The sequence below is a fragment of the Homo sapiens genome, chromosome 14 (genome assembly GCF_000001405.40).
Source record: "Homo sapiens chromosome 14, GRCh38.p14 Primary Assembly".
In the NCBI taxonomy this organism is placed as follows: Eukaryota; Metazoa; Chordata; class Mammalia; order Primates; family Hominidae; genus Homo; species Homo sapiens.
In genome coordinates this window covers 79,184,870-79,210,139 of record NC_000014.9, presented here as the reverse complement: position 1 = coordinate 79,210,139, position 25,270 = coordinate 79,184,870, and the positions used below count along the sequence as shown (strand labels likewise).

Genomic DNA, 25,270 nt, shown 5'->3' with positions numbered 1-25,270 from the left:
AAGAAATTAAGGTGGTTACCCAAAGGCAAAACCCTTAAGGAAACAAAGAGAAAAGTTCTACCAAACTTATCTGTAACTGTCCAACACCATTAAATAGCAACTCACAGGGTAAATTCAAGGGGAAATTCACTTACGCTTATAACCAAATGACCAATGCCATTGATACTCTAATAACTGGTTCTTCCTCACTTATCTTCATCTACAAGGTTGAGTACCTTAGAGTTACAAATATTGCTTTGCCCCATATGCATATTTTGTCTCTTAACAGTGTTGTACTACAGACTAATAGCTGTGCATAAATAGTAAACAGAGGACTTTGGGATTTAAGAGGACCAATATTTATTCATTCATCACTCATTCACTGATTCATCATATATAGACATCTTTCATGTGCCAAGCACTCTTTTAGGTCTTGTGATAAAATCGCTGGTATAAGAAAGAGCTCCTGACTCCCAGAAGCATACGTTATAATGGGGAGACAAGCAATAAAGTAATAAACAAAGATAATTAGTAAGTGCTATGAAAACAAGACAGAGTAATGGAATAGACCTTGGGAAGACTATTTTAGATAAGATAATAGGAAAAACTTCTCTCAAAGGTAACATGTGAACTGAGACCTTAATGATCTCAGTGACAACAGGGAATGAGAGTCTCTCACATAGTAGAAACTTTACTTATGACTCAGAATTTATAACACTTTACCCATTGTGACTTTTGGAGAAGTTTCCCTAGTAATTACATAGCAGTGCATTATAGACAGACTGAAATATACCCTTGATTCCCTCTTCTAAGGAAATAGGTGATTGGACCTCTGTTTTTTTTTTTTAATAAAGACTGCTAGACAACACCTTAAAAAACTCAGAGGTTGCTAACTAGCAATTCATTACTTTAAAAACTTTTCACACCGGGCGCAGTGGCTCACGCCTATAATCCCAGCACTTTGGGAGGCAGAGTCAGGTAGATCACGAGGTCAGGAGATCCAGACCATCCTGGCTAACATGGTGAAACCCCATCTCTACTAAAAACACAAAAAATTAGCCAGGTGTGGTGGCACGTGCCTATAGTCCCAGCTACTCGGGAGGCTGAGGCAGGAGAATCGTTTGAACCCAAGAGGTGGAGGTTGCAGTGAGGCAAGATCACACCACTGCACTCCAGCCTGGGTGACAGAGCAAGACTCCATCTCAAAACAAAAAAACAAAAAAACTTTTCACAAAAGTCTTGCTACATTGTTGGTGGGAATATAGATTGGTATAACATTCTTGGCAGGAAAACTGGTAAAATGTGCTGAATTTTTTTCTTAAAGTATACTCTTACACTGGCAATTCTGCTTCTGAAAATTGATTCTAAGGATATAATTACAAACATTTTTACATAGTTTAGCTATAGATATGATTAATAAAACATTTTTTGTCATAATAGAAATTGAAAAATAACTGTTATATCCAATAAAATTGAGTTAATCAGAGTAAGTTGTGCTATTTCATACAATAGAATATAGGTAAAACACCTGAAACAGTGACCACAGAATAAGAGCTCACTGAATGTCAGTTGCTATTATGAATATTACTGTTACTTAGTCATAGAAAATAAAAGTTTAGATGAATATTAATTGATTCAGGAAGATGTTCAGAGGCATTGCAATGAAGAAATATTCTTTGCTAAAAGAAGACCTTTGGTAAATATTTTAATGTTCTTAGTGTGAGATGTTATTTGTCCCCTTTTGGCCAAGAAAATAAAAAATTGGGGTACAGATGTTCTTGGCTCAGCTTTAGAAAAAAATGAACCATGATGGCATAGAGCCTAATGAATGAATTCACTTCTTTAATCCTACCTCGATATGCTCATTTTCCATAAATGCAGGAACTGTCCTGGATTAAGTGACCCCCAAATTTATCATCAGAAGAAAGAAACCCCACCAGAGAGTTAGCTTTGTCTCCAGAACAGTTTAAATTGTTTTGAATTGCGGGTTCCAATTCTTTCAGAGCTACACAGTCTAATTACTTCAAATAACACTCTTTGGGATAGACTCAAAATGTAGTCTTTCTTTCTACAAATATGATAATCTGGTTCCTTTAAAGTATGGAACAATCACCTTGTCCCTTCCTCTTTATACCCTCTGGGCAAGTTACTTAACTTCTTAGTTTCCTCATCTGTAATATTGGAATAATAACGTTACCTACTCCACAAAGTACTTAAGAAGATTCAATGTGTTAGTATTTTTAAAACACATAGAACAGTGCTTTTTATATATTTATTAAATAAAATTTAAAATATATATACCATAAAAACTTTAGACCAGTTTCTCAATACTATACCTTCACAACTGAATTATCATCAAGGAGCCATAGGGATCCTCTGTATCAACAAACCCAGAGGCTTCCAAGAACAACCCTTATGCCTATGCAACAATCCCCTGGGACCTTGGTTCATTCAAAGCAGGATCTTTAGTGGTAGGTTGTGGCAGAAAGAACGGGCCAAAGAAGTAAAGAGAGGAGTTAGGGAAGTAGAGAGGGTACATTCCGGTGGCAATTTCCCTTATGCCACATGCTCATCTTCAGAGTGGTTTCCTTATTCATGTTCTCAGATTCAACTCCACTTCCTCACTGCCCCTATTCTGAACTCTGCTGCAAATTCCCTTTCCTTGCACCAGTTGTTAATATGAAATCCTCAGAAGGGACAGCCTCATTTTCCTTTGAAATGCTTGCTATTCCTACTTCAGTCTCTTTTGTCTTACTATGTCCCAGATTTCCATTCATGTGCACTTTTGGTTTTCTCTACAATTGAAGCTAGTGTTTTTCGAAGAGAAGTGTCATGTTCGCTTGGGGCGGGGTGGGGGTTCTCAGATTCCTGAGATCCATTGCAGACCTACTGAATCCGAATTTAGTATTCAGGAATTTGCGTTTATTAAAAAATCCCAGGTGAAGCTAATGACACTTATGTACTGAGAACCGTAACCCAAGGAACTGACAGAAATGAACATGGGGAGGGGACTTGCAGAAGATTTCTCATTGATGCTGGCAGGTGAAAATACTTTCAAAACTCACAGGTTTTTGTGAGCATGCCTCAGAGGCAAGAGGGCCAGGAAGCAGCTGGGGAGGGATGGTGTGCTGGGGGACATCGCCCCTGGATGTGGGAAAGTTTGTGAACAGGCTAACATCTGTAACTTGATCCGGTAGGAAAAGGGGCTCAATGTTTTTGTTTTTTTTCTTTTCTACTAAACATGTGAATGAATATCATAGCAGTAATGAACACTAAGACTTGTACGTTAGTTTCCTGGTTATGTGCATTGTGTTCTGCCTTTCTAATGAGATAATAAGGTTATTAATTATGCCTAATATTGGTATGTGTGCCTATTAAGATTAATTAAAAATTGAACGCTCTTCAATGTTCAAAAAGAAAAGAAAAATTCTAAAAAAGAGACACCAAACACTCCTTACTAGCTAAAGATAGTCACAGTTCAGAAAGCAGCACTGGGATGTTATTGACAATAACTCATTAGAAAAGGTATTGGAAAGGCAGGGTTGTCACAAGAAAAGGTGATAACAGTTAACATTTCTAGAGCATGCCTACTCTTCAGGCTAGCCTTTAAATACTTGTATACTTCAGCTCATGGAATTCTCACCACCTGTCTCTGGAGTTAACAGCAGCTGTATCCCCAGTTTTTCTTTATAGTCAAGAAGAGATGATGGACCCTTGTCACTGACACACAGCCAGTAAGTGGCACAGGCAGACATAGAGCCCATGCCATCTGATTCTACAGCCTGCTCTCTTCCTTCTGTGATTCAGTGACCAGCCTCCTTCAGCTGAGTTTTCTCCTCTAGAGAATGGGGATATAATATTACCTGCCTCCGAAGGCCCTTGTAAGGATTAATACGTGCAAATCCTTTAAGAATGTCTGGCATAGTAGGCACCATATATACATCTGCTATCATTCATCATCATTATTAATTACCAATGATGAGTATAACTTGATGCAAATTAATGCTAATAATTTATATATTAGTAACTGAAATTATTATGTATTGATAGTCACATTCCATTTGGGCAGTGATATAACAAAAACAGACAGAAAAATGAATGACTTTTATGAGGGCAGAATGGTGTGTTCCTCCATGCATGTTCTTCCAGACAAGTTATTAGAAGCATCTGGCATGCTTGTCAAAAATAGGGATTCCAAGAGCCTTATCAGAGAACTACAATGATGAGGTACCAAAATTTGTATATTCAGGGAGAGCCTAAATGATTCTTTTAAACACTGTGTTTGAAGTTCCTTGAAATAGAGGCAAAATTAAGTGTAGCAACATGGAGAAATAGAAGAAAAGTCAGCTGTCAGTCAATCTATATATCCCTCTGCATGCTTAAGTTATATATCTTAAAGGCATATATAGCTAATCCTACCAGGAGGTGGTGTTGCTGGATTTCTGTCATAGGACTAAATGATTTCTGACTTGATAGAGTGTGTACTTATAATGTAATTAAATAATTTCCATACCATTATGCTCTATTAGGACTGAATTAATCCAAGCAATAAAAATACAATAATGGTGATTGATGATGGTGGATAAAGATGGATGGTGATGATAATTATCAGGTACTTGATGTTTTACAACAAAATTATACAGCCCTATTTTCATTAACTTTGTGCTGAACTATGGTGATAAGATTGAGTAACAAACTTTTTAGGCAGCAGTTCAGAAGGAAGTCCATCTAAATTGCTCTACTTATGATGCACTCTTGTAGACCTCTAGTCATCTTTGCTGGTGTATCTGTTGTAAGGCTTCTTAGCTCAAAAATTATAGTTTTAAGATATATATTAAAAACACCAATGTTAATTAGAATTGAAAAATACAACTAACTGTTAAATGGATTGAATGAAATATCACAAAAGCAGAGCCACCATAAAATTCGGTTCCCAAGCTACAGGGCATTCCATTTTCAAGTACGAAGCAGCAGCTAAGGAAAAGTTACTATTCGCGGCAATTATAAATTTTAATTCCTTGTCCAATGTCCATTTGGCTCATACCTCTTCCCCAAATCAACAACAGTGAAGTGTCAAGGAAGAAAAATTTTCCAGCCTTTGAAACATAAAAGGAATCATTGCTGACACAATCTACAATGCCTAAATATTTACTAAGCACAAAGGGAAATCTCAGTTGGTAATGCTCTTTAGAGGGAAGAATGTGATACCACCTGCCAAAGGATTGCCAGAAGGAAGCAACCAACACAATCAAATATGATACTGTGTGTGTACATACACCAAGTCTCAGCTGTGTCATACTTTCAGTACTGTCCAAAAAGCAGTGATTTCTAAGGAGACAGCTAGAAAGGAACCTGGATGCATGCCCTTCATTTCCTTCCCTGTGCATAAGTACCTCTACCTGTGCCAGGGGAAGCAATCAGGAGTGTAACATTCAGGGTGTTTTTGTTCCATATCTACCCAACAGCTGCTTGGTTTCACTGACAGCCACTGGAGTCAGCCCACAAGAAATACACCCACAAATGTTTAATTGATGATGACTTAAAATATGAAAATGAGCATATTCAGACATTCACCCTCACAAGGAATATGTAAACACCCAAATACTAAACAATGCTATTTTTCTTATGCCAAGATTCTGATGCTGCTTTCTTTGGGTAGGCAAATGTTTCTTTTTATACCCAACTCTTAACTGGATGCTACCTATACTAATAAAATGGGTATTTTGGTGTTCATTTTTTTACTCAAACCTTGGAATTTTTCATAAAATCCCTTACTTTGCTTGGTAACTGTTACCATATGAGGCATTTGTTGGAAGAGGGAGGGTGAGGGAGAAAGAGGTAAAGAAAGACAAAACCAAGCACATTTGGAAAGAATAACTGGCACTTCCATATACCAGAGCAAGCAGAAGAAGCTTCACAATTATAAATGTAACTAAAATAACCATCTCTTTTTCAAGCACTATCAGCACCTGACGGGAGCTCTTTGTAATGGAAATCTTTTTTCTTTGTATCTTTTTACTCACATATTAATGCTGCAATCTTACTTGTGAGTGGGAGTATGAGTGTAGCATGGGCCACACACAGGGGGATGTTGGCACTGGCTGGCACTGTCTCCCAAGAGCCATTTGACTGCATATATCGCTACCCAACTCTGCCTTTCATGATGCCATGATGGTAGCTCAAAAGCTTTGGTGGGAGTGTTTATACCAGGGAAATCATCAAATGCTCCAAACCAGAGCTTTTTCTCTCAGAAAGCCAATTAATTATTAAGTAAACATTTGCCAACACTCCATTGGCCAAATGAGTCATTCTTGACAAATGTCTACAATTATAATTAAGCACCTACTATCTGCTAATAATTTTACATGTATATAGTATTTAATCCATACAACTAGCCTTAAGAAGGTGCACGGTACCTGTTGTTATCTCTGCTAGACAAGGAGACTGAAGCTCAGAAATTAAGTTGTCTATTATTGCAAAGCTTTAGCACACATTTTGAATCCAAAATCCACCTCCATATCACTATATAATGCTGGTGTCCAAGGTTACTGGGTTATTAGATCCCAGAGAAAAATGCTATCACAGGAAATCTTGACATAAACATGCTAATTGGCAATTAACATTGTAACTAGGACAGAAAGATGTGGCCTGGATATTTGAGAAATTCTAGATGGGGCATATGTAGGGGTGTGCCGCAGGGATTTATACTCTGTACAGCCCTAATTCATTTATCTACTGCTCTAATGAAGACACAAAGTATGTTTATCAAATCTATTGATGCCACAAAACCTGGAGGTATATATATTATCTTGCTTGTCTGTTGTGTATATCTCTGTGAACTATCTAATATCCTTTTTTGAATAGGCAAGTTTTGCAAAGCTAAACAAATGAAAAATGTCATATGTAGCAATTTAAGGAGAGAATATTAATCCTGAAGAAACAATTTCTGGAGGAGTTTGAAGGCTGTCTTCAGATCCAGAGTCTGCTCTGTAGAAAATAATCTCCATCTTCCTCCAGGCAGTGAAATTAGACCAATAAAGGAAAGGTATGGGAAGAAAGATTCCATTTCAACAGGAGGAGTTTTCTGGTAAAAGATAATGGACACCAGAATGGCCATAATCAAAAAATCAAAAAACAGTAGATGTTGGCATGGATGCGGTGAACAGGGGGAAGTTCTACACTGCTGGAGGGAATGTATACTAGTGTGGAGATTCCTTAAAGAATTAAAAGTAGAACAACATTTTGACCCAGCAATGCCACTACTGGGTATCTACCCGGAGCAAAAGAAGTCATTATATGAAAAAGATTCTTGCACACACATGTTTATAGCAGTACAACTCACAATTGCAAAAATTGTGGAACCAACCCAAATGCCCATTAATCAATGAGTGGATAAAGAAACTGTGGTATATATATATGATGGAATACTACTCAGCCATAAAAAGGAATGAATTCACAGCATTTGAAGTGACCTGGATGAGTTTGGAGACTATTATTCTAAATGACGTAACTCAGGTTGGAAAACCAAACATCGTATGTTCTCACTGATATGTGGGAACTAAGCTATGAGGACGCAAAGGTATTACAGTGACACAGTGGGCTTTGGGGACTTTGGGGGAAGAGTCGTAGGAGGGTGAGGGATAAAAGACTACAAATATGGTACAGTGTATACTGCTTGGGGAATGGGTGCACCAAAATCTCACAAACCACAACTAAAGAACTTACTCATGTAACCGAATGCCACCTGTACCCCCAATAACTTACAGAAAAAAATAATCTTAATACCTTAAAAAAGGTGTATATTCTCCCACAAAACAAGGATATGCCTATTATACTTCACACTAATAATCCTTATTTTCTCAGGTATGGAACAAAGACAATATGAGAGCAATCATTCTTCTGCCTACCCCCCAACTCTTCCTACACACATTTTTCCCCCAAGGAAATGTATAAAACTGAGCCTCCTGAAAACCTCTTCAGGGAGAACATAAGCCACAGAGGATTTCTGTGACTCTTGTTTATCTTGGGCACACCCTCAAGCTCTAGCTCAATAAAACCTCAATTGATTGAGGAAAAAAAAAAAAAAGATAACACACACCTCATTCCTCAGATTACTCAAGGGAAGCCTGGAGGACCTCTCTGGTGCAGTAATGGTTAAGCATACAGGATTTGGACCCAAGTTTAAATCCTAACTCTATGGCTTACTAACTATATGGCTTTAGCCAATTCTCACGTGCTTCCTCGCCTGTACAATAAGGATAGTAATAGTACCTGTTTAATGAGTTGTTGTAAAAATTAAAAGAAATATGTAGTGACGTAGAAAGTGCTTGAACAGTGCCTGGCAAAAGGTCAATGCTATGTAAACATTCACTCTTATGTTGTCAAGAGAATTACTATTTTGGCTTAAATCAGCAGCTTTATCAACTTTAATAGTTTGTGATTTTTGTGCTTACTTAACTTCCCCTTGGAACACAGTGCCAAACTCTTAGTTGGCCTGCAACAAATACTGGTTGATGAATTAATACCCAGAGTCTTTCAATCATCTTTATTAAGACTGTCATAAAAAATGATAGAATAAATTCTAGAGAAAGAAAGTAGAGTCAACATTCTCTAAAAGGCCAAATGCTGCCAATCTCAGAGGTTTTAATACCACTAGGTGTTTCTGAATATGTTAAAATAAATAAAATATCATATCCTTAAGAAACAGCCCAACAGCCTGGCCCAAAAGGCCTTGACTTTTAACAACCTTTTAAAAATAATATTGCTAATTTTATATCTTAGTACATATTTTTTCATCCTTGCTTTCATAAATTCATGCAAATATGAATTGAGTTGGTATGTGCCACGCATTGGCAATAAGAGACAAATGCTATATTTTCACCACTTTGTCCATCGGTTTTCTTTGTTTTGAAAGATTTATTACTCATCTATTAGTTTTGATAAGTGCTCTCAGGATACAAAGGATGCACAGAGTTGTTCCCAAAAGGGTCATCATCATTTCATTCTTGAATTTCTACCTAATAGGCAAACTTGACATCAGTACTGCTCGCTGATTCAAAGCAGTGGCTTCAATATAAATTTTATCCAAGTCCTAGGAACTGAATTTGACTCAGTCTGTGCCATTGTCCTGGGAAGAAATGACCATAAAGAAAGCCTAAATTTCTTAGTATTATTTAGCTCAAAGAATAAAAGGCTAGAGAGGAAAAATCTTATATAATACGTATTTCCAAAATTGAAGGATTATTACTTGAGAGATAGTTGCCATATGTTCTTTCTGTCCCCTGAGGATAAACAGAGGAAAGCCAAAAAAAAAAAAAAAAAAAAAAAAAAAATACAGCTCACAGGAGAGCAATAGGGATTTCAGATAGTGATTTAAAAAAGAACTCCTGGGTAACAAGTGCCATTGAATATCAGAACAGGTTAGCAGGACACAGTGTGAAATCTCTTTCTTCAAGAGTATTAGTTGTGTGTACATTGTTTTCCAATTTGTTTCACCACCTGTTTTTCTATTTTTATTAATGAAGAAAGAATAAGAAAAACCTAACTCATTCCTTCCCAGAGATGTGTTTCTACGGACAAAGTGATGACTGTAAGAGACCTTTAGGGCTCCTTTTCTTCTTCATCCTCAATGATCCCCATTTCCTTCCATCTTCATCTCCAGATGACGCAGCTGGCCTTCAAGGCCCAGGTCCTCTGTCTGTTCTGAGACCCTCACTATTCCACATATTGCCCCACTTCTACAGTTCTTCTGACCACCCCTTCTCTCTTCAGTGTTTCCTTGCTTCCCCGGTATACTCTCATCATGGATATGCCAAATCCTCTAAGCAAACTTCTTTTCTGTAGAGTATCATCCATATTTATGAATTCAACCATCCTCTTCAGGAGGCTAACGTGCAAATCCACAACTTTAGCTTAGCAGACTCTCTCAAACTCTAGTTCAGGATTTCCCACTGATAAATGGGTATTCTCACTGGGTTATTTCATAGTCATCCAAACCTCAAAACTCTCACCTTCAGAACTGAAAATGACCACTTTCCTCTCCTTCTCTTGGCTTTTAAAATATGTCTCATTGATATCTTAATTCTCTTTATGTACCAGCCTTCAAAATGTATCCCTTCTTACCCTTCTCTGGGTCTAGGAAACTCCCCCAGTCAATGACCTCTCAATTCTTGTTCTATTATATAGCACACGTCTTTCTTCTCCATAGTGACCATCAGTGGTTCTCAAAATATATACTGAATAGAACCCAAGGTTCTATCTCAGCATTCCGGGCCTTTTATAAGTTTTCACCAAATTATTTTTCCACAGTCATCTGCCATTTGAAACCTTTCTACTTGAACCAAATTTATATTCTCACATGTCTGGAATACTGCTGCTTCTGATCCTTTGCTCAAGCTGGGCCCCAACCATGGTTTGTCTGTTTGAATCTTATTCAGTGTTATCCAAAATCCAGTACCAGGCCAACTTTCCTTTGACTACCCCAGGGAATAGTGGTGGTCTTCCTCATCCACATTTCTATCTCTATCAGTTGATTTGCTCTTAACACATATCACCTTAAATGGTCACTTGCTTTTTTCTCATATGTTGTTCAACATATAACTTTTTTCGACTTTCAATTGATTGCAAACAATTTGAAAGTGTGAACTCTGGTAATCTTTATATCTTCTCCCTTAAAAATTACGTTAGTGAACATTGTAGTTTGTTTTTTCTCATCTTCAATCCTCAGTGTGGCTTCTTTTGCTGTCATCAGCACAATCACAAACACAACCCAACACATTTAATTTTGTCCTTCTCACAGGACTAGTAGATTTTATTCATCGTTTCACTCTAGAGGGTATTTAATTCCTGATATAAAAAATGGAAAGGCACGAGAGGAAATGAATAAGGTAAAAATAGAGAGACAAGAAGGGAAGTAGAAAGAGAAGAAGGAAGAGAAGGAAAGGTGAAAATAAGAAGGGAAAGAAAGAAGTCCCAAGGTTTTGCTTTTTTTTTTTTTTAGACGCAGTCTCACTGTCGCCCAGGCTGGAGCGCAGTGGCGCCATCTTGGCTCACCGCAACCTCTGCCTCCAGGGTTCAAGCGATTCTCCTGCCTCAGTCTCTAGAGTAGCTGGGACTACAGGCGCATGTCACCAAGCCCAGATAATTTTTTTGTATTTTTAGTAGAGAGAGGGTTTCACCATGTTAGCCAGGATGGTCTCCATCTCCTGACTTCGTGATCCGCCTTTCTCGGCCTCCCAAAGTGCTGGATTACAGGCGTGAGCCACCGCACCTGGCCAGTTTTGCTTTTTCTAAGTTCAGTAACTCAGAAATTACTTGTAGTCTTTCTCACAGTTCAATCCCCATTTTGGAATATGAGTCAAGAAAACTGTAGCTTATATCAGGTGTTCTCTGGAGATGATTCCTCAGATTCAAGGTTTCTAAGTAAACCAGCTAACAGCTTCACTGCTACAATGAAGAAAGTTCCTGCCCCAATTCCACTGACCTAGTTGAATGGAATTACTGACATTTAACTTCTGTGCATCATAGTTAAATTTTCATCTGCTTATTCTAGGAATATTGCCTCTTTGGTTCCCTTAACTTTTTCTATCATTACATTTATCTCCCTTTAGCATTAAGAGTAATGCACATCGTTCAGCTGTGGCATAGCTGTCTAATGAAGCAAATCATATCGTTCTCACTAAATCCATCAAATCCAAATACTAAAAAATGAAATTCTCCTAGTGGTATAAACAAACTGGTTTTTAATACACAGAATATCATAACAGATTGTCCTTGGCTGTTCCCTATACTGTATGCTCTGACACTTGTTGGTTTATTTACAGTGTTTCTTCTAAAAGAAGAATTGATCAAGGGAAAACAGCCAACTTCAGAATGTTTTAAATCTACATTACATACTGTCAAAATAACTTTTAAATATATGCAAAACTGAATATTTGCAATTCAAAACAAGAGCACATAAGGGGGAAGGAGAACATGCTTCCATTTCATATAAATCACATTAGAAAGAAGTTATTTGGATTATCCATATTTTAACAGACTCACAGAGAAATGTGTGGCAGAGTGGAATCAGAAGTGGAACCTGAAGATGGGACTGGGACTGAATTACTGCAATCTCATAATAAAACTTAAACAGATGAGGAGCTGCTTCTTATAGATGAGCAAAGAGTAGTTTCTTCAGATGGAATCTACTCCTGGTGAAGATGTTGTGAACATTGTTGAAATCACAACAAATGATTTAGAATATTACATAAACTTAGTTGAAAAAGCAATGGCAGGGTTTGAGAGGATTGACTACAATTTTGAAAGCTGTCCTACAGTGGGTAAAATGCTATCAAATAGCATCGCATGCTACAAAGAAGTCTTTCATGAAAGGAAGACTCAAATTCCTTGCGGGAAACATCTTTGTTGTTTGCCACCCCAACCTTCCGCAACCACTGCCCTGATCAGTCAGCAGCCTTCAAATTGTGGTTAAGGTCACCAAACCAAGCGGATGCCTGGCTTGGGTTTTTGACAGTGGAGTCAGCGACAACAAAGACAACGGATAATTAGAGTTCATTCAAACATCCTTTGAGATTTCCAGTAAATCATGGAATTAAAAAAAAAAAGAAATTACAGATACAGTAAGAAAAGAAAAAGAGAAGAAAAAACAGTAGATAAGCCACGCAAAAGTCTTCCTACCAAGAATCAAGTTCAAATGACTCAGCTGGTCAATTTACTAAGACTCTTGTTCGGGGTAAGCAGCAACTGAGAACCACACTCTTATTATCTCTACTCCTAGCAAAATTAACTAATTCAAATAATCAGTATGTCATTAATGTGGTACAAGTCTATTTTTGTCTGTTCATTCTCTTATTTTCCAGCTGGTTACAGCAGGGCTATGAAGTCACATTTGCCTAATTTGACCTCATCCCCTGACTACCATGCACCTACCCAAGTTTTTAGACTGGGACTTGAGGATGTCAATCTGGCATTTTTCTTAAGTGGATATAAGGCAAACCTGAGAAGGAGAATTTCCACAGAGACATTTGGTCCAGTAACCAGCCAAAATTAACCTGTAGAAACAGAAAAGAATTTGCCCAAGCTAGCAGGCTGGACCCAGAAATAGGATAAGAGATGTGTAATAGAGCTGACCTAGCCCACCTGAGCAAAGCCTATATAACCTGAACCTCAACTGACCCCCAGACCCTTGAGTGAGCCCAGCTGAGATTAGTGGAGCCATTTAGCCAGTCTCAAGCTGCAATAGCTGACCCTCAAGCAACCCACAGCTCCATAAGAAATAAGTGTTTATTGTCCTGTGCTGCTGGAGATATTGTGGTTGTTTGTTATGCAGCATATTGCATGGATAACTAATTAAATTAATAACATTCCTGACCTAATTTGAGCTGCACAATATACCTCTGTATCTTTGCAGCACATTTCTTTTTTTTCATACAACAGTTTAAGCAAGCAAATGAGACCCAACTAATATACTAAAACACACTGAAAAGGAAAAAAAAATCTATATCTATATCTATCTATCTATATCAATCACAGCATATTAAGGGCAACATTCTACAGAGTGGATGTTTGGTATGGTTCGAATGTGTCCCCCAGAGTGCATGTGTTGGAAAGTTAATTCCCAATGCAACAGTGTTGAACAATGGGACCTTTAAAAGGTGATTAGGTCATGAGGGCTCTGTTCTCATGAATGGATCAGTGTCATTATTACAGAAGTGAGTTGGTTATAAAATTGAGTTTGGCTCTCTCCCATGCTCTCTTGCCATGTGATAACTTTCACCATGGGATCATGTAGCACAAAGGCCCATGTCAGATGTCAGTTTCATGCACTAAGACTTCCCAGCCTCCAGAACTGTGAGCCAAATAAATTTCTGTTCATTTTGAGTTACCCAGTCTGGGGCATTCTGTTATGGCAACATAAAACTAACTAAGACATGATGCCTGTGAAAAACACATATAGATGTGATCCAGGCTATCAAGTCATTCACTTAACTCAGCCTGCATAAATCTGCCAATAGCCTCTATAGACAGTGAAATGTGATGCAGTCACTTTTGCCTCATTTAATCTCACCCCTGACTAGTGTGCTCCCTCCCTGGGATTTTAGATTATAACTTGAGGATGTCAATCTGGTATTTTTCTTAAGTGGGTGTGAGGCAAATCTGAGAATAAGAAGTCCCAGCTAGTCATTTGGTTCAGGAACCAGCAAAAACTAATCTGTAAAAATACATTAGTACTATTTTCAAGCAGTATTGTGTTCCTTTCTCAGGAATTATTTTCTCTTTCAACCTATCTCAAGTTAACTATTTTATTTCCCAATTCCTTAAGGCCATCCTCTCCACTAGGGATCTCCATAGTAAATAGATCTGCCAAAGGAATTTATAGGAGGATATCATCGATTAGCTTATATTGTATCTTCATTCTACCTAGAATCACTTCTGTTTTCATGGGTCTTCTTGGAGATGCAACATTTTCACCTAAAGGCATGAGTCTCTAATAGCAGAATTTCAGACTCTGTGGTGGGTGAGGAAGTATTTCCCCTAATCTCTTCAGTTAAATAAGAGTAAAGACTGAGTCCTAAGGTGTTCAGACACATAAACCAATCATATAATGAAAGAAGAGATGTGTCCAATTTTACAAAGATGTTTGCTCTTATTTTCCTCCAGACACTTGGAAAAACATTAAGCTGGAGAAAGTAGAGAGTAAAAGTATGCCTACATGTATACTCGTGGGCTGGTGGGTATCAAAACCTTGGGAAAGACTCAAGACTCATCATATTTTAGTGCTATTGCAAAGGTACTTCCAGGTTTCTCATGATGCTAAAATGCTGGGATGAGAACTTTTCCTTTCTCTTTTGTTTCTGCTTTTCCCAAAGGCCTCCTGACATGGAGAGATAGATGATGGCAAGTGGTAGAGATCAGGAAGTCCACCCCTTGATGCCTGGGTTCCCAGACTCACATTTGTCATTCCCAGTTTTCTCCCTTCACTGGGAGCATCTTGTCATGGGGTCTGGCTTGAATGCTCTGAGGAGAGGAAGCCAGGGGTACAGGACAAGAGACATCATTCGTTATCACTCAGGCAGGAAAATGAAGGATAAGAAGGGGAGGGAAAAGGAGCCATCCATGACTAACTCTTGATTAATTACCAGTTTTGACAGTGACAAGGAATGTGGAAAACAGAGAAGAAATATCAGAGAAAAAAAAAAGAAAATAAGATAAAAATGTGACTTTATAGCCTCTTCCTCCACAGAAAATAACTCCCTTAAATTAGAAAAATCAGTTAATCACATGAGATATCTTACAGGCAGAAGCTGAGAATTTGAAAACTGTAAACAAATAGAGCTCAAGACTTGTATTTTCTGTAAGGCCCAGCTCATCTAGGAGATCTGAAGGTGTAAGAAGACTGTCTCTGAAAACCAAAGCCAGGTTTATACACACACATTTCATTTGTCTCTTGTGTGCCTTCTTTCAGTATTGACAATGAAAAGCAATTACATCCAACACAGGGAGAGACACTGAGACCTCTTGGGTCTGACTGCCTGTCCTACCTCAGGAATAAAACTTCATAACTGCTACTTTCTTCTGGGGGAATCCTCTGAAGGATATCTTTGCCTTTTTCTTACTTTCCTTTATAGCACCAGCCAGCCTCTAAACTATACAGACAAACATACCCTCCAGCTATCTTCTTATGTGCTAGAAATTTCCAGAAGCAGAATTGCTCTTCTGGTCAGACAGTTCTGTTCCTGGGATGCACCAGTGCAACACCAAATATGTTCATTTGGAAGTTCCCAAAACAAACAGTCAGCTGTACAATTTAGCTCAAAGCTAGACCGTTCTTAGTTCTTTCTGGGAACAGAGGGAGGAAAAAGAAGGTTCTGGCATTTTTGCATGTCAGAGAAGATATATGTATGCCATCATTCGAAATAACCTGAGCAATCACTGAAAACAGCACAAGTGAGAGGAATCCTGGGAAAATGTAATATCAGGGTCTGAGTCAAACGAAAGTTTTAGTTGTCTAAGAATCCTAGAAACCTCTCCTTAAAAGTTTCTATTTCTCCCACAGGAATATTCTTGATATAAACATATCCTCTGAAAATTGCGCTAATTACATTAGACTAAAAATGTTGTTATAGTCTAAGTGTTTGAAGAAAGTTAAAACACTTCTGATTTTCAAGTTTCAAATAGTTATTTCTATTATTACATTTATAGGATTGTCTCATCTGGGTTGAACTGATCATATCTGCATTCTGAACATTGCAGTCTTAGAATAAATTGACATTGTTCTGTAGGGCAGCGCTAGTCAGAGGTAAACTATTCCATACTTTGTAGGAAATTCAAGATGCTATCATTCAAGAAAAACACATTAGAAAACACTTTACTCATGTAGGAGATCTCATTCCTCTAGTGTATCTTCTCCATCCACCTGATTTCTTTCTCTTTCCTTTACTGTTGTCTTCAAGATGTTTCCACATAACTGTGATTGAAATGAGAGTTTAAGCAGATTTTTTTCCCTGCCCATTAGTTACTTTGGCCATTTGGAACCAAAATTTCACTTGAGAGGGGCCTTCTCAATGATTAAAAAAATGTTCACAGCTTATAATAATAAACATCGGTTAAGGTTTGCAAAATTAAAAATTGACTGCAACGTAAGTTTAATGTGCTTAGAACTATGATTTATACAAAGATTAATGCAACAGCAATATAATCTAAATTTAAATAAATCAGATTCCAAGACACTATCTTGTTTGTTCGCATTTCTCACCTTCTTTCTTTTAACCATATCCCTTGTTCTGTGACACTGCTAATACACTACTAAAGGTTGAAATAAATCTCTCTAACCAATCTCTTGCCTATGCAATTTAAAACCAAAGTCAGATCCAGAGGGTAAAATCCATCTCTCTTTTCCCTTTAGTGTTCTCTTTAATTTATATTCCTTTAAACATCACTATTCTTATTTAGAGGCTATAGCATATCTATAATATCACCATTCTTCTCAGAAGTTCAATTTTTTTCAATTTTTTTTTTTGTCTTTAAAACCCTTCTATGACAAAGCCATAGGGTAAGTTTATCACTTTAGCTTATTTTAAGAATTGTACATAGCCAGGCGTGGTGGCTCACGCCTGTAATCCCAGCACTTTGGGAGGCCGAGGCAGGCAGATTACAAGGTCAGGAGTTTGAGACCAGCCTGGCCAATATGGTGAAACCCTGTCTCTACTAAAAATACAAATACTAGCCAGGTGTGGTGGCAGGTGCCTGTACTCCCAGCTACTCAGGAGGCTGGGGCAGGAGAATCTCTTGAACCCGGGAGGTGGAGTTTGCAGTGAGCTGAGATCATGCCACTGCACTCCAGCTTGGGTGACAGAGCGAGACTCTGTCTCAAAAAAAAAAAAAAAAAAAAAAATTAAGAGAATTGTACATGTCTTTTTACATATTGCTTCTCTGAGAGTGTCAACCTTATTCGTCCCAGTGACAAACTTTGCACACAGTAGGGGTTTAACAAAATTAGTCACAGACTTTCAGAGTTGGAAGAGACCTTTTGATATCTACATGGTAATTCTGAGAACTATGGAAGTGAAGTGACTTTTTCTTTTACCTTTCAATGTTTTTTCACTGTGCTGGATTTGAGGTTAAATAGCATTGGTTTGGAAAATATTATCTAATATTGCATATGTGTACTGGAAAATATGCCTAAAATATCCCCAAATACTTCCTGTGGGGTCCATTTTATTACATCTAATTCAAGGTTGCATATTACCTACACCTCCTGATGGTTCCTCGGTGAGACAAGAGTACTTAAGATGATTGACTATAGGTTGAATATTTACCCTATGTCAAGCACTGAGCTAAGCACTTTAATCTTGACAACTATCTCTAAAGAAGGCACTATTATTATTCCTACTATTATCATATTTTACAGAACAAGAATCAAAGACTTAGAGATGATCAGTAACCTGGAGAAGTTATACAGCAAGTAAGTGCTAAGATCCCAATCCAGTTGGGATCTGTAATCCCAGCACTTTGGGAGGCCGAGGTGGGCAGATCACAAGGTCAGGAGTTCCAGGCCAGCCTGGCCAATATGGTGAAACCCCATCTCTGCTAAAAATACAAATATTAGCCAGGTGTGGTGGCAGGCACTTTGACTTTAGTACCCAAGTTTTACTCATTGTATCCACATGGTAGAATGCAAGCAGCATCTAGTAAGCACTGTCGTTTCTGGGTTCTTGGTTGGTCCTGTGGCTTCCTGACCACCTCTATTTGAGATTTTCTTAGAAGCCACCTTATCTATTTGTGAAGTGGTAAGGCATGCTTACTCATCGCCAGTGGAATATCAATATGTACTATTATAACAGTGGAAAGGTCAAGGATCTTAAATATGAACAAATCAGCAGTTAAATCCATATTTTAATCACCTGCTGTATACATTTAGGCAAACTTAACTTCAAGTCTTAGTAAGTCGTTCTAACTGGGTTGTTGCAAGATTTCAGAGTCGTATGTCACATGCCTGGCAAATAGAAAGCTATTAATTGTGTTTACTGTCATCAATGCTAAAAGGAAAGGTCTTATATTTACCCATCTATGCTATAAGGCTGGAATATTTGGATATTTTCTATTTTCTCTTTGTCAGGAGACAAATTATGCCAAGACCCCAATGTAAGTGGGAACATAGTTATGCAAGAAGTCAGAAGCCAGACAGATCCCCAATTACACTGGCTTATGACACCTTTAAAATTGGGCAGGAACATGTAGGCCAACCTGAGCCATCACCTTCAAAAGGATGCCTCCCTGCAGAACTGCCATTAGACGAACTGCTACATAAATTGTCTTCATCTATCATCAATTTCTGAGGCACTCCTGCTCTGGCTACTGGCCATGCCTTTGTATTTCAGTTTGCTCTCCCTGCTTCCATAGTTTGTTTGAGTTGGTGTCTGGCCTGTGTTCTTATATCAGTTTCACTTTCTGAAATACTGGTATGATGACTTGTCTATAGTTCATTACTTCATGTGTCTCATGCAATGGGCATAGCAGTTTCTTTAGAACTCCAGTCCTGCTGATACTCAGGCCTTCATCCAAAGACCGCAAAAGAGTATTTTCTCCTGGGGGGCTTTCCGTTAATCTCCATTGGCTTTTAGTTACCATAACCAAGGCAAAACAGTGACCATGACTTAGTGGAGATGGGAAACTCAATGAGACAATTATGTATGTGTACGTCTGATTCATACTGAATTGTTTTGGCTATTATGCTTTAGATTATGTACAGTTTTTATAAGGGTAAATCCTGAGACCTTGAAGAATTCTGCTACAACATAGTTTCTTTCATAATGCCTATATGTTCTCCTTCTTAACAGTTTTCAAGTGACTTAGTAGAAGGATAAGATGAGAAGAAAGGGTTCAGAATAAACCAGATCAAGTTTCCCTTTTCCCTACCATGCATCTCCACCAAGAGATTCATAATTCCAGGGGATCTTAAGAATAATTTGCTTTTTTCAGGAATTCTCTGGATGGGTAACTGGAAGCCATACACACGGCTTCTTTTGATATATAACCTCGGAATATCGAGAGAAACCAAACATTATTGGCGTTTGGACACTTGCCTTCAGTAGCACACCGGGGCAACTGAACATAGCCAAATGCCAGCAATGACCCTAATGAATCCTGCACTCCAGAAAATAGCAACCACTACGTGTCCATTAAAAATGACCAGTGGCTGATTCTGCATTTAGAAAAGCTTAAGGTCTTTATCATAAGGAATGAGGTTTCACAAGTATGTATAAGTTAGACTTAAATTCATTTTTTCAATACTTACTATATGCCGTGAGCCCTGGAAAGAGAGTAGATATAGATACAGAGAGGGAAGAAAGAAAGCAAAAAGAAGAAATCTGTCAGTTAAATGAGAAAGACCTGATATTTTACTGACTGTCAAGAATAGCCTGATGATGATTAAAAAAAAAATTTCCGTAAGGATTATGGACCTTTTCAACTTAATCTGAAAATGTCTCCATGACAAGAATATTTTCCCCTTCTTTTTTGATGCAATATCTGATCCATAAAGGACTGCTGGCTAAAAATTATAGGGAAATCTGAACAAATGAGTAGATGAAACATTCTTTCCCTTTAGAAGATTTTTTGAAGAATGTCCAATATCACCCAATTCCAAAATGCAATGTGCTTCTTTGTCAGAACATATATTCAAGTGTAATATAAATTCCTGCCCTGCCATAAATATTGTCTTCAGGGAAATCTTTCTCAAGGAAGAAAAAAATCACAGTGTAATACATTTGGATAGACACACAAATCTGTCTATCCTCTGATGAATCGATAAATATGTTTTTATTGTTACTGTGAAATAGGTTATATATGTATACAGATGTATGACTTTTTTATGCATGAAATAATGTAGGATTGCACTCACCATAGACTGACTTACAGTTTTCACTGTTCTGTGTCACCGCAGAAAGTTATTCTCACAGGCCTATATTGCATGTACCCTGCTAGGAAGGGACTCAGGAAAAAGTCCCTACAAAAGCAAAAGCCATATTCGTCTCTAGACGACTTGAACTTTGTGTTGGGCAGAACAGTGAAAGGGGCAGGGAGGAAGAGATAAAGAAGAAAGGGACTTTTTTTTTTTTAAATTATACTTCAAGTTCTAGGGTACATGTGCACAATGTGCAGGTTAGTTACACATGTAACCATGTGCCATGCTGGTGTGCTGCACCCATTAACTCGCCATTTAGCATTAGGTATATCTCCTAAAGCTATCCCTCCCCCCTCCCCCCACCCCACAACAGTCCCCAGAGTGTGATGTTCCCCTTCCTGTGTTCATGTGTTCTCATTGTTCAATTACCACCTATGAGTGAGAATACATGGTGTTTGGTTTTTTGTTCTTGTGATAGTTTACTGAGAATGATGATTTCCAGTTTCATCCATGTCCCTACAAAGGACGTGAACTCATCATTTTTTATGGCTGCATAGTATTCCATGGTGTATATGTGCCACATTTTCTTAATCCAGTCTATCATTGTTGGACATTTGGGTTGGTTCCAAGTCTTTGCTATTGTGAATAGTGCCGCAATAAACATATGTGTGCGTGTGTCTTTATAGCAGCGTGATTTATAGTCCTTTGGGTATATACCCAGTAATGGGATGGCTGGGTCAAATGGTATTTCTAGTTCTAGATCCCTGAAGAATCGCCACACTGACTTCCACAAGGGTTGAACTAGTTTACAGTCCCACCGACAGTGTAAAAGTGTTCCTATTTCTCCACATCCTCTCCATCACCTGTTGTTTCCTGACTTTTTAATGATTGCCATTCTAACTGGTGTGAGATGGTATCTCATTGTGGTTTTGATTTGCATTTCTCTGATGGCCAGTGATGGTGAGCACTTTTTCATGTGTTTTTTGGCTGCATAAATGTCTTCTTTTGAGAAGTGTCTGTTCATGTCCTTCCCAGCACCCTGAAAAATGGAGAATTTCCAAAGCAATCACATTATGCCTAGACACTTACAAAGCCATTTGGAAGATAATGACCAATGATAGCTATTCAAAAGTATGGTGGATTTAAGAATGGCTGCTGTCCCCTCTGGGGAGTTTGAAGTTACTTGGCTCAATTGCCTTGTTGGCTTTGTTTTAGGGAAGAAATGGCCTTTGTCTGGAGATCCATTAACTACATGTGCATGGTTGCTCTGTGTAAAGAAAACCTTGCTATAAAGACTGTTCTCCAGAAAGATACCTATTAGAGATTTCATCTTTCCAGTATATTCTAAAAAAAAAAATATGTATTGTACAAGCCAAAGGGCTAGCAGCAACACAAATTTTCTTGAAAATTGCCTATTTTTTCCACATATCTCGAATTTAGAGATTTGAGATTCCTAAAATAGGAGACTTGGAAATACTTCTTAATGCTAGGTCTTATATTTGGAAAGAGACTCTCCACTATCACCACCAAATTGCAATAAAGGTTTCCTCTCAATTTATCAGCCAAAGTACTGAATTTAATAAATTCATGCTATTTTTTGACTGTATGCAATGTCTCTTAATGACTCAAAGCATGTTACAGATGTTTTCTTTGCAATGTTGAATGAAGGAATAAGGGATACCTGTGTAATGAACTTGTAACAAGATAGAAACTCTAGTTGACCTCTTATGGTAAAAATGTAAAGGCAAACAAAACCTACCAATGTTACACCAAGACACAAGCTGCTGGGTTACAGTGTTGGGTTGTCATCCATGTTCTCGACTGACCCTTCTGAATCTCTGCTTTATGCAGGAACTGTGATGAGGATATAGTGAGTGGTACACACAGAGGGCATGACCCATGTCCTCAAGTCGCAAACAATTTAGTCACACCAGCTGAGAGCATCTTCCGTCTCATCCAAGAAAAGTCCATTGCTGAAAATCTCAAAAGGGTCTTCCTGTAATCACCCGTAAAATCTAGTGTGATGCTAGAAAAGGACATTCGCTATTTTTTCTTATGCTTACACATTTTTTTTTTTTTTTTTTTTTTTTTTTGAGACGGAGTCTCGCTCTGTCGCCCAGGCTGGAGTGCAGTGGCGCAATCTCGGCTCACTGCATGCTTACACATTTTTAAGAATCATTAATTTCTGAAATTGCATTATATTACCTTTTAGAAGGGTAAATCATTATGGTGAGCACAGAATTATTCTGGGGTGCAATATGACACTTACTCTGAACCTGAGGGAAAAGGTCATTTAATCTGTTTTAGCTCCAGATGCCTCTTCTATAACTGCTATCTCTAAAATGGAGATAACAATACTTTCTACCTCACAGAAATATTGTAAAGATTAAATGAGATAATGAATTTGAACCATTTAGCCCAGTTCCTGGAAACAAATGTTAGCTCCTAACAATAATAAAAATAACAATACAATGCCTTGCCACCTATGAAAACTGCTAAGTGGTTCTGGAAATTTACCAACCTGCTTTCAAGAGGGGCTCTGACTCCGCTCATGGTACACTTGTTTGAAATTTTTCAAAAAGAATTTATCTGTATGCTTAAATGCTACAAGCATCACACTTGGGTACTCTGGCCAGCATCCTTAATTTTAGGCTGGTTCTAGGTGAACGAAGCCCATGGCCTTGGTTAACTATCACAGCAGAAAAATGGTAAGAAGGAAACTCGATTGGAAGGAATCTGTCCAGATGTTTATTTCCCTTCATTTAGGTCCATATAACATATAGATCAAATGCTCAGAGCTATTAGGAGCAGAGAAAAATGCCAGAATCGATGCTGCAACACATTTTGCGTTCACCCTGAATTAATGCCTCTATATAAATGTTGTTGCTGATTTAACTTCTTGTTAACGGCCTTAAATGTTTGACCCGTATCTTTGCCTGCTTGAATACAGGAAAATCTACATCATGGATTTCCCTGTAGAGTCATGAGACAGGAATGTGCAAAGCCAAAAGAGACAGCTGGGAAGTGTAGCAGAAGTGAGTGACCCTGCCCTTCTTGGGAGGTCATCCTTGGAGAAAAAGCTGACACCCTCACATCACAAAATGTAACTACCACCCAAGTGAGATCTGTTACTCCTCACCAAAAATTAAGGTGGAGTTTCTTTCTAAAGGATAGAGAAATTTTGGAGACTTGATTTCTTTTTCTTTCTTCTGCCTTTGGGACAACTTCAATGTAATTACTGAAAGCATGAAAAAATCAACTTTGGGTTTTCAGACATGTATCTTATTGTGACTGCCCATTGTTTCCAAATTTGATTCACTGGAGATGTTAGTGGGTGATTCATAAAAAAGAGAGAGACATGGCATGTTAGCCACGTTGGATATACACAATACATATTTATATATGAAAAGGTCTAAAAGTCCCACAGTAAAGCAAAATTTTAAAATTTGTACACAACCCTATATTTACTTAATATATTTAAGTAAGAAACACCTTTTTTTTTCAGGTAACACCCTTGACGTCACGATTTGTTTGGATGCAATTCTATTTCATGTTGAACCATTAACATGGAATGGAATAAAATAGAATGGCTATAATTTACTGAGTGCTTAAGGTATGCCAGGCAAATACTATTCTAACTATTTTGCATGTATCAGAACATTTTATCCACTCAGAAACCCTATGAGATATGTACCATGAACATCTCCACACTGAGAGGTTAAATAACTTCTCAAGGTCAGACAGACAGTAACTGGTGGGGACAGCCTTGATTCAACCCAGACAGTTTGACTCCAAGTCATCTCAAAATAGCATACAGCTAGAAAACCTAGAGAAGTGCCAGAAATTATTTTATAAAATCTTGGGGGGAAATGAGTATTTTTTAATCTAGAAAATTTAATGCTGTAAAGAAGAAATAGTATCCTCATATATAAAATAGGATTCAAATAAAAAATTTCAGTCAGCTGTAGTAAAAATTCCCAAGTATGGGCCGGGTACGGTGGTGGCTCACGCCTGTAATCCCAGCATTTTGGGAGGCCAAGGTGGGCGGATCACGAGGTCAGGAGATCGAGACCATCCTGGCTAACATGGTGAAACCCTGTCTCTACTAAAAATACAAAAAATTAGCCGGGCGTGGTGGCGGGCGCCTGTAGTCCCAGCTACTCGGGAGGCTGAGGCAGGAGAATGGCGTGAACCCAGGAGCTGGAGCTTGCAGTGAGCCAAGATTGTGCCACTGCACTCCAGCCTGGGCAACAGTGCAAGACTCCATCTAAAAAAAAAAAAAAAAATTCCCAAGTGTGAAATTGCTCAAATCATATGGAAATAGATGTTACAGAATTGTTTGCTCTATGAATCTTTTACAATTAGAATGTTTCACCATGTGTATCTTTCAGGACAGTCTTTATTAAAAGCAATTGGATTAATAATCTCTGAATTGTCATGAATCTGCAAGTGTCCAGGATTTCACATGAAGAAGATGAGAGAAGACAACTCAGAGCGTGGAGTGACTTCCCTTCATTTTAAGTGAGCCAGTCCTCAGAAAATTTCCTGGGTATTAGTGTTTCTGCTCAAGACACGAGCTTATTAGAAATAAAAAATAGTTTATTAGAAATAAGAAATAGCTTATTAGAAATAAAAAATAGCTTATTAGAATGAAAATGATGTTTAAAAGGACTAATAACTTCTTAAGATGATGTAACTTTTAATAGACAACATGTCAACTGTGTTAGGTGCATCTCTGTAAAATATTCTGAGATGTGAAGCTTGTTAATAAAATTACAGCACAACTCAATTTGACACAAATGCCACATGATATCAAAAAAACCTGAGAGCCTATAGGACCAAGCAAAGTATTTGTGCAGTACCCTTAACTATTCATCTCATCTT

At 38.0% G+C, this 25,270-nt stretch overlaps 1 protein-coding gene and 2 long non-coding RNA genes across 54 annotated transcripts in view, besides 4 other annotated features; 1 reads left to right on the top strand and 2 right to left on the bottom strand.

Annotated features, from left to right (window-relative positions):
• Window positions 1-25,270, bottom strand: part of NRXN3 (neurexin 3) — a 1,697,919-nt gene that overhangs the window by 658,152 nt on the left and 1,014,497 nt on the right. The gene's annotated exons all lie outside the window — the stretch shown is intronic.
• Window positions 6,604-6,773: an enhancer, noted in NCBI's record as "experimental_37233 CRE fragment used in MPRA reporter constructs". NCBI's record gives its function as "activates a minimal promoter by MPRAs in K562 erythroleukemia cells, with activity observed for the non-introgressed 14:79669795 variant allele {active_cell/tissue: K562}" and the evidence as "EXISTENCE:reporter gene assay evidence [ECO:0000049][PMID:34662402]".
• Window positions 8,508-10,158, bottom strand: LOC105370586 (uncharacterized). The gene is made up of 2 exons (NR_135159.1): window positions 10,102-10,158; window positions 8,508-9,106 (listed from the first exon to the last, which is right to left on the bottom strand). It is a non-coding gene; the product is annotated as an uncharacterized LOC105370586 (long non-coding RNA).
• Window positions 10,236-23,408, top strand: LOC124903352 (uncharacterized). Its single transcript, XR_007064280.1, has 4 exons — window positions 10,236-10,390; window positions 11,802-12,712; window positions 17,891-17,944; window positions 23,337-23,408. It is a non-coding gene; the product is annotated as an uncharacterized LOC124903352 (long non-coding RNA).
• Window positions 14,883-15,052: an enhancer, noted in NCBI's record as "experimental_37197 CRE fragment used in MPRA reporter constructs". NCBI's record gives its function as "activates a minimal promoter by MPRAs in K562 erythroleukemia cells, with activity observed for both the introgressed and non-introgressed 14:79661516 variant alleles {active_cell/tissue: K562}" and the evidence as "EXISTENCE:reporter gene assay evidence [ECO:0000049][PMID:34662402]".
• Window positions 15,614-15,783: an enhancer, noted in NCBI's record as "experimental_37191 CRE fragment used in MPRA reporter constructs". NCBI's record gives its function as "activates a minimal promoter by MPRAs in K562 erythroleukemia cells, with activity observed for the introgressed 14:79660785 or rs12434839 variant allele {active_cell/tissue: K562}" and the evidence as "EXISTENCE:reporter gene assay evidence [ECO:0000049][PMID:34662402]".
• Window position 15,698: a transcriptional cis regulatory region, noted in NCBI's record as "Neanderthal adaptively introgressed variant 14:79660785 (GRCh37/hg19 assembly coordinates) or rs12434839 in the experimental_37191 CRE". NCBI's record gives its function as "modulates activity of the experimental_37191 enhancer by MPRAs in K562 erythroleukemia cells {active_cell/tissue: K562}" and the evidence as "EXISTENCE:reporter gene assay evidence [ECO:0000049][PMID:34662402]".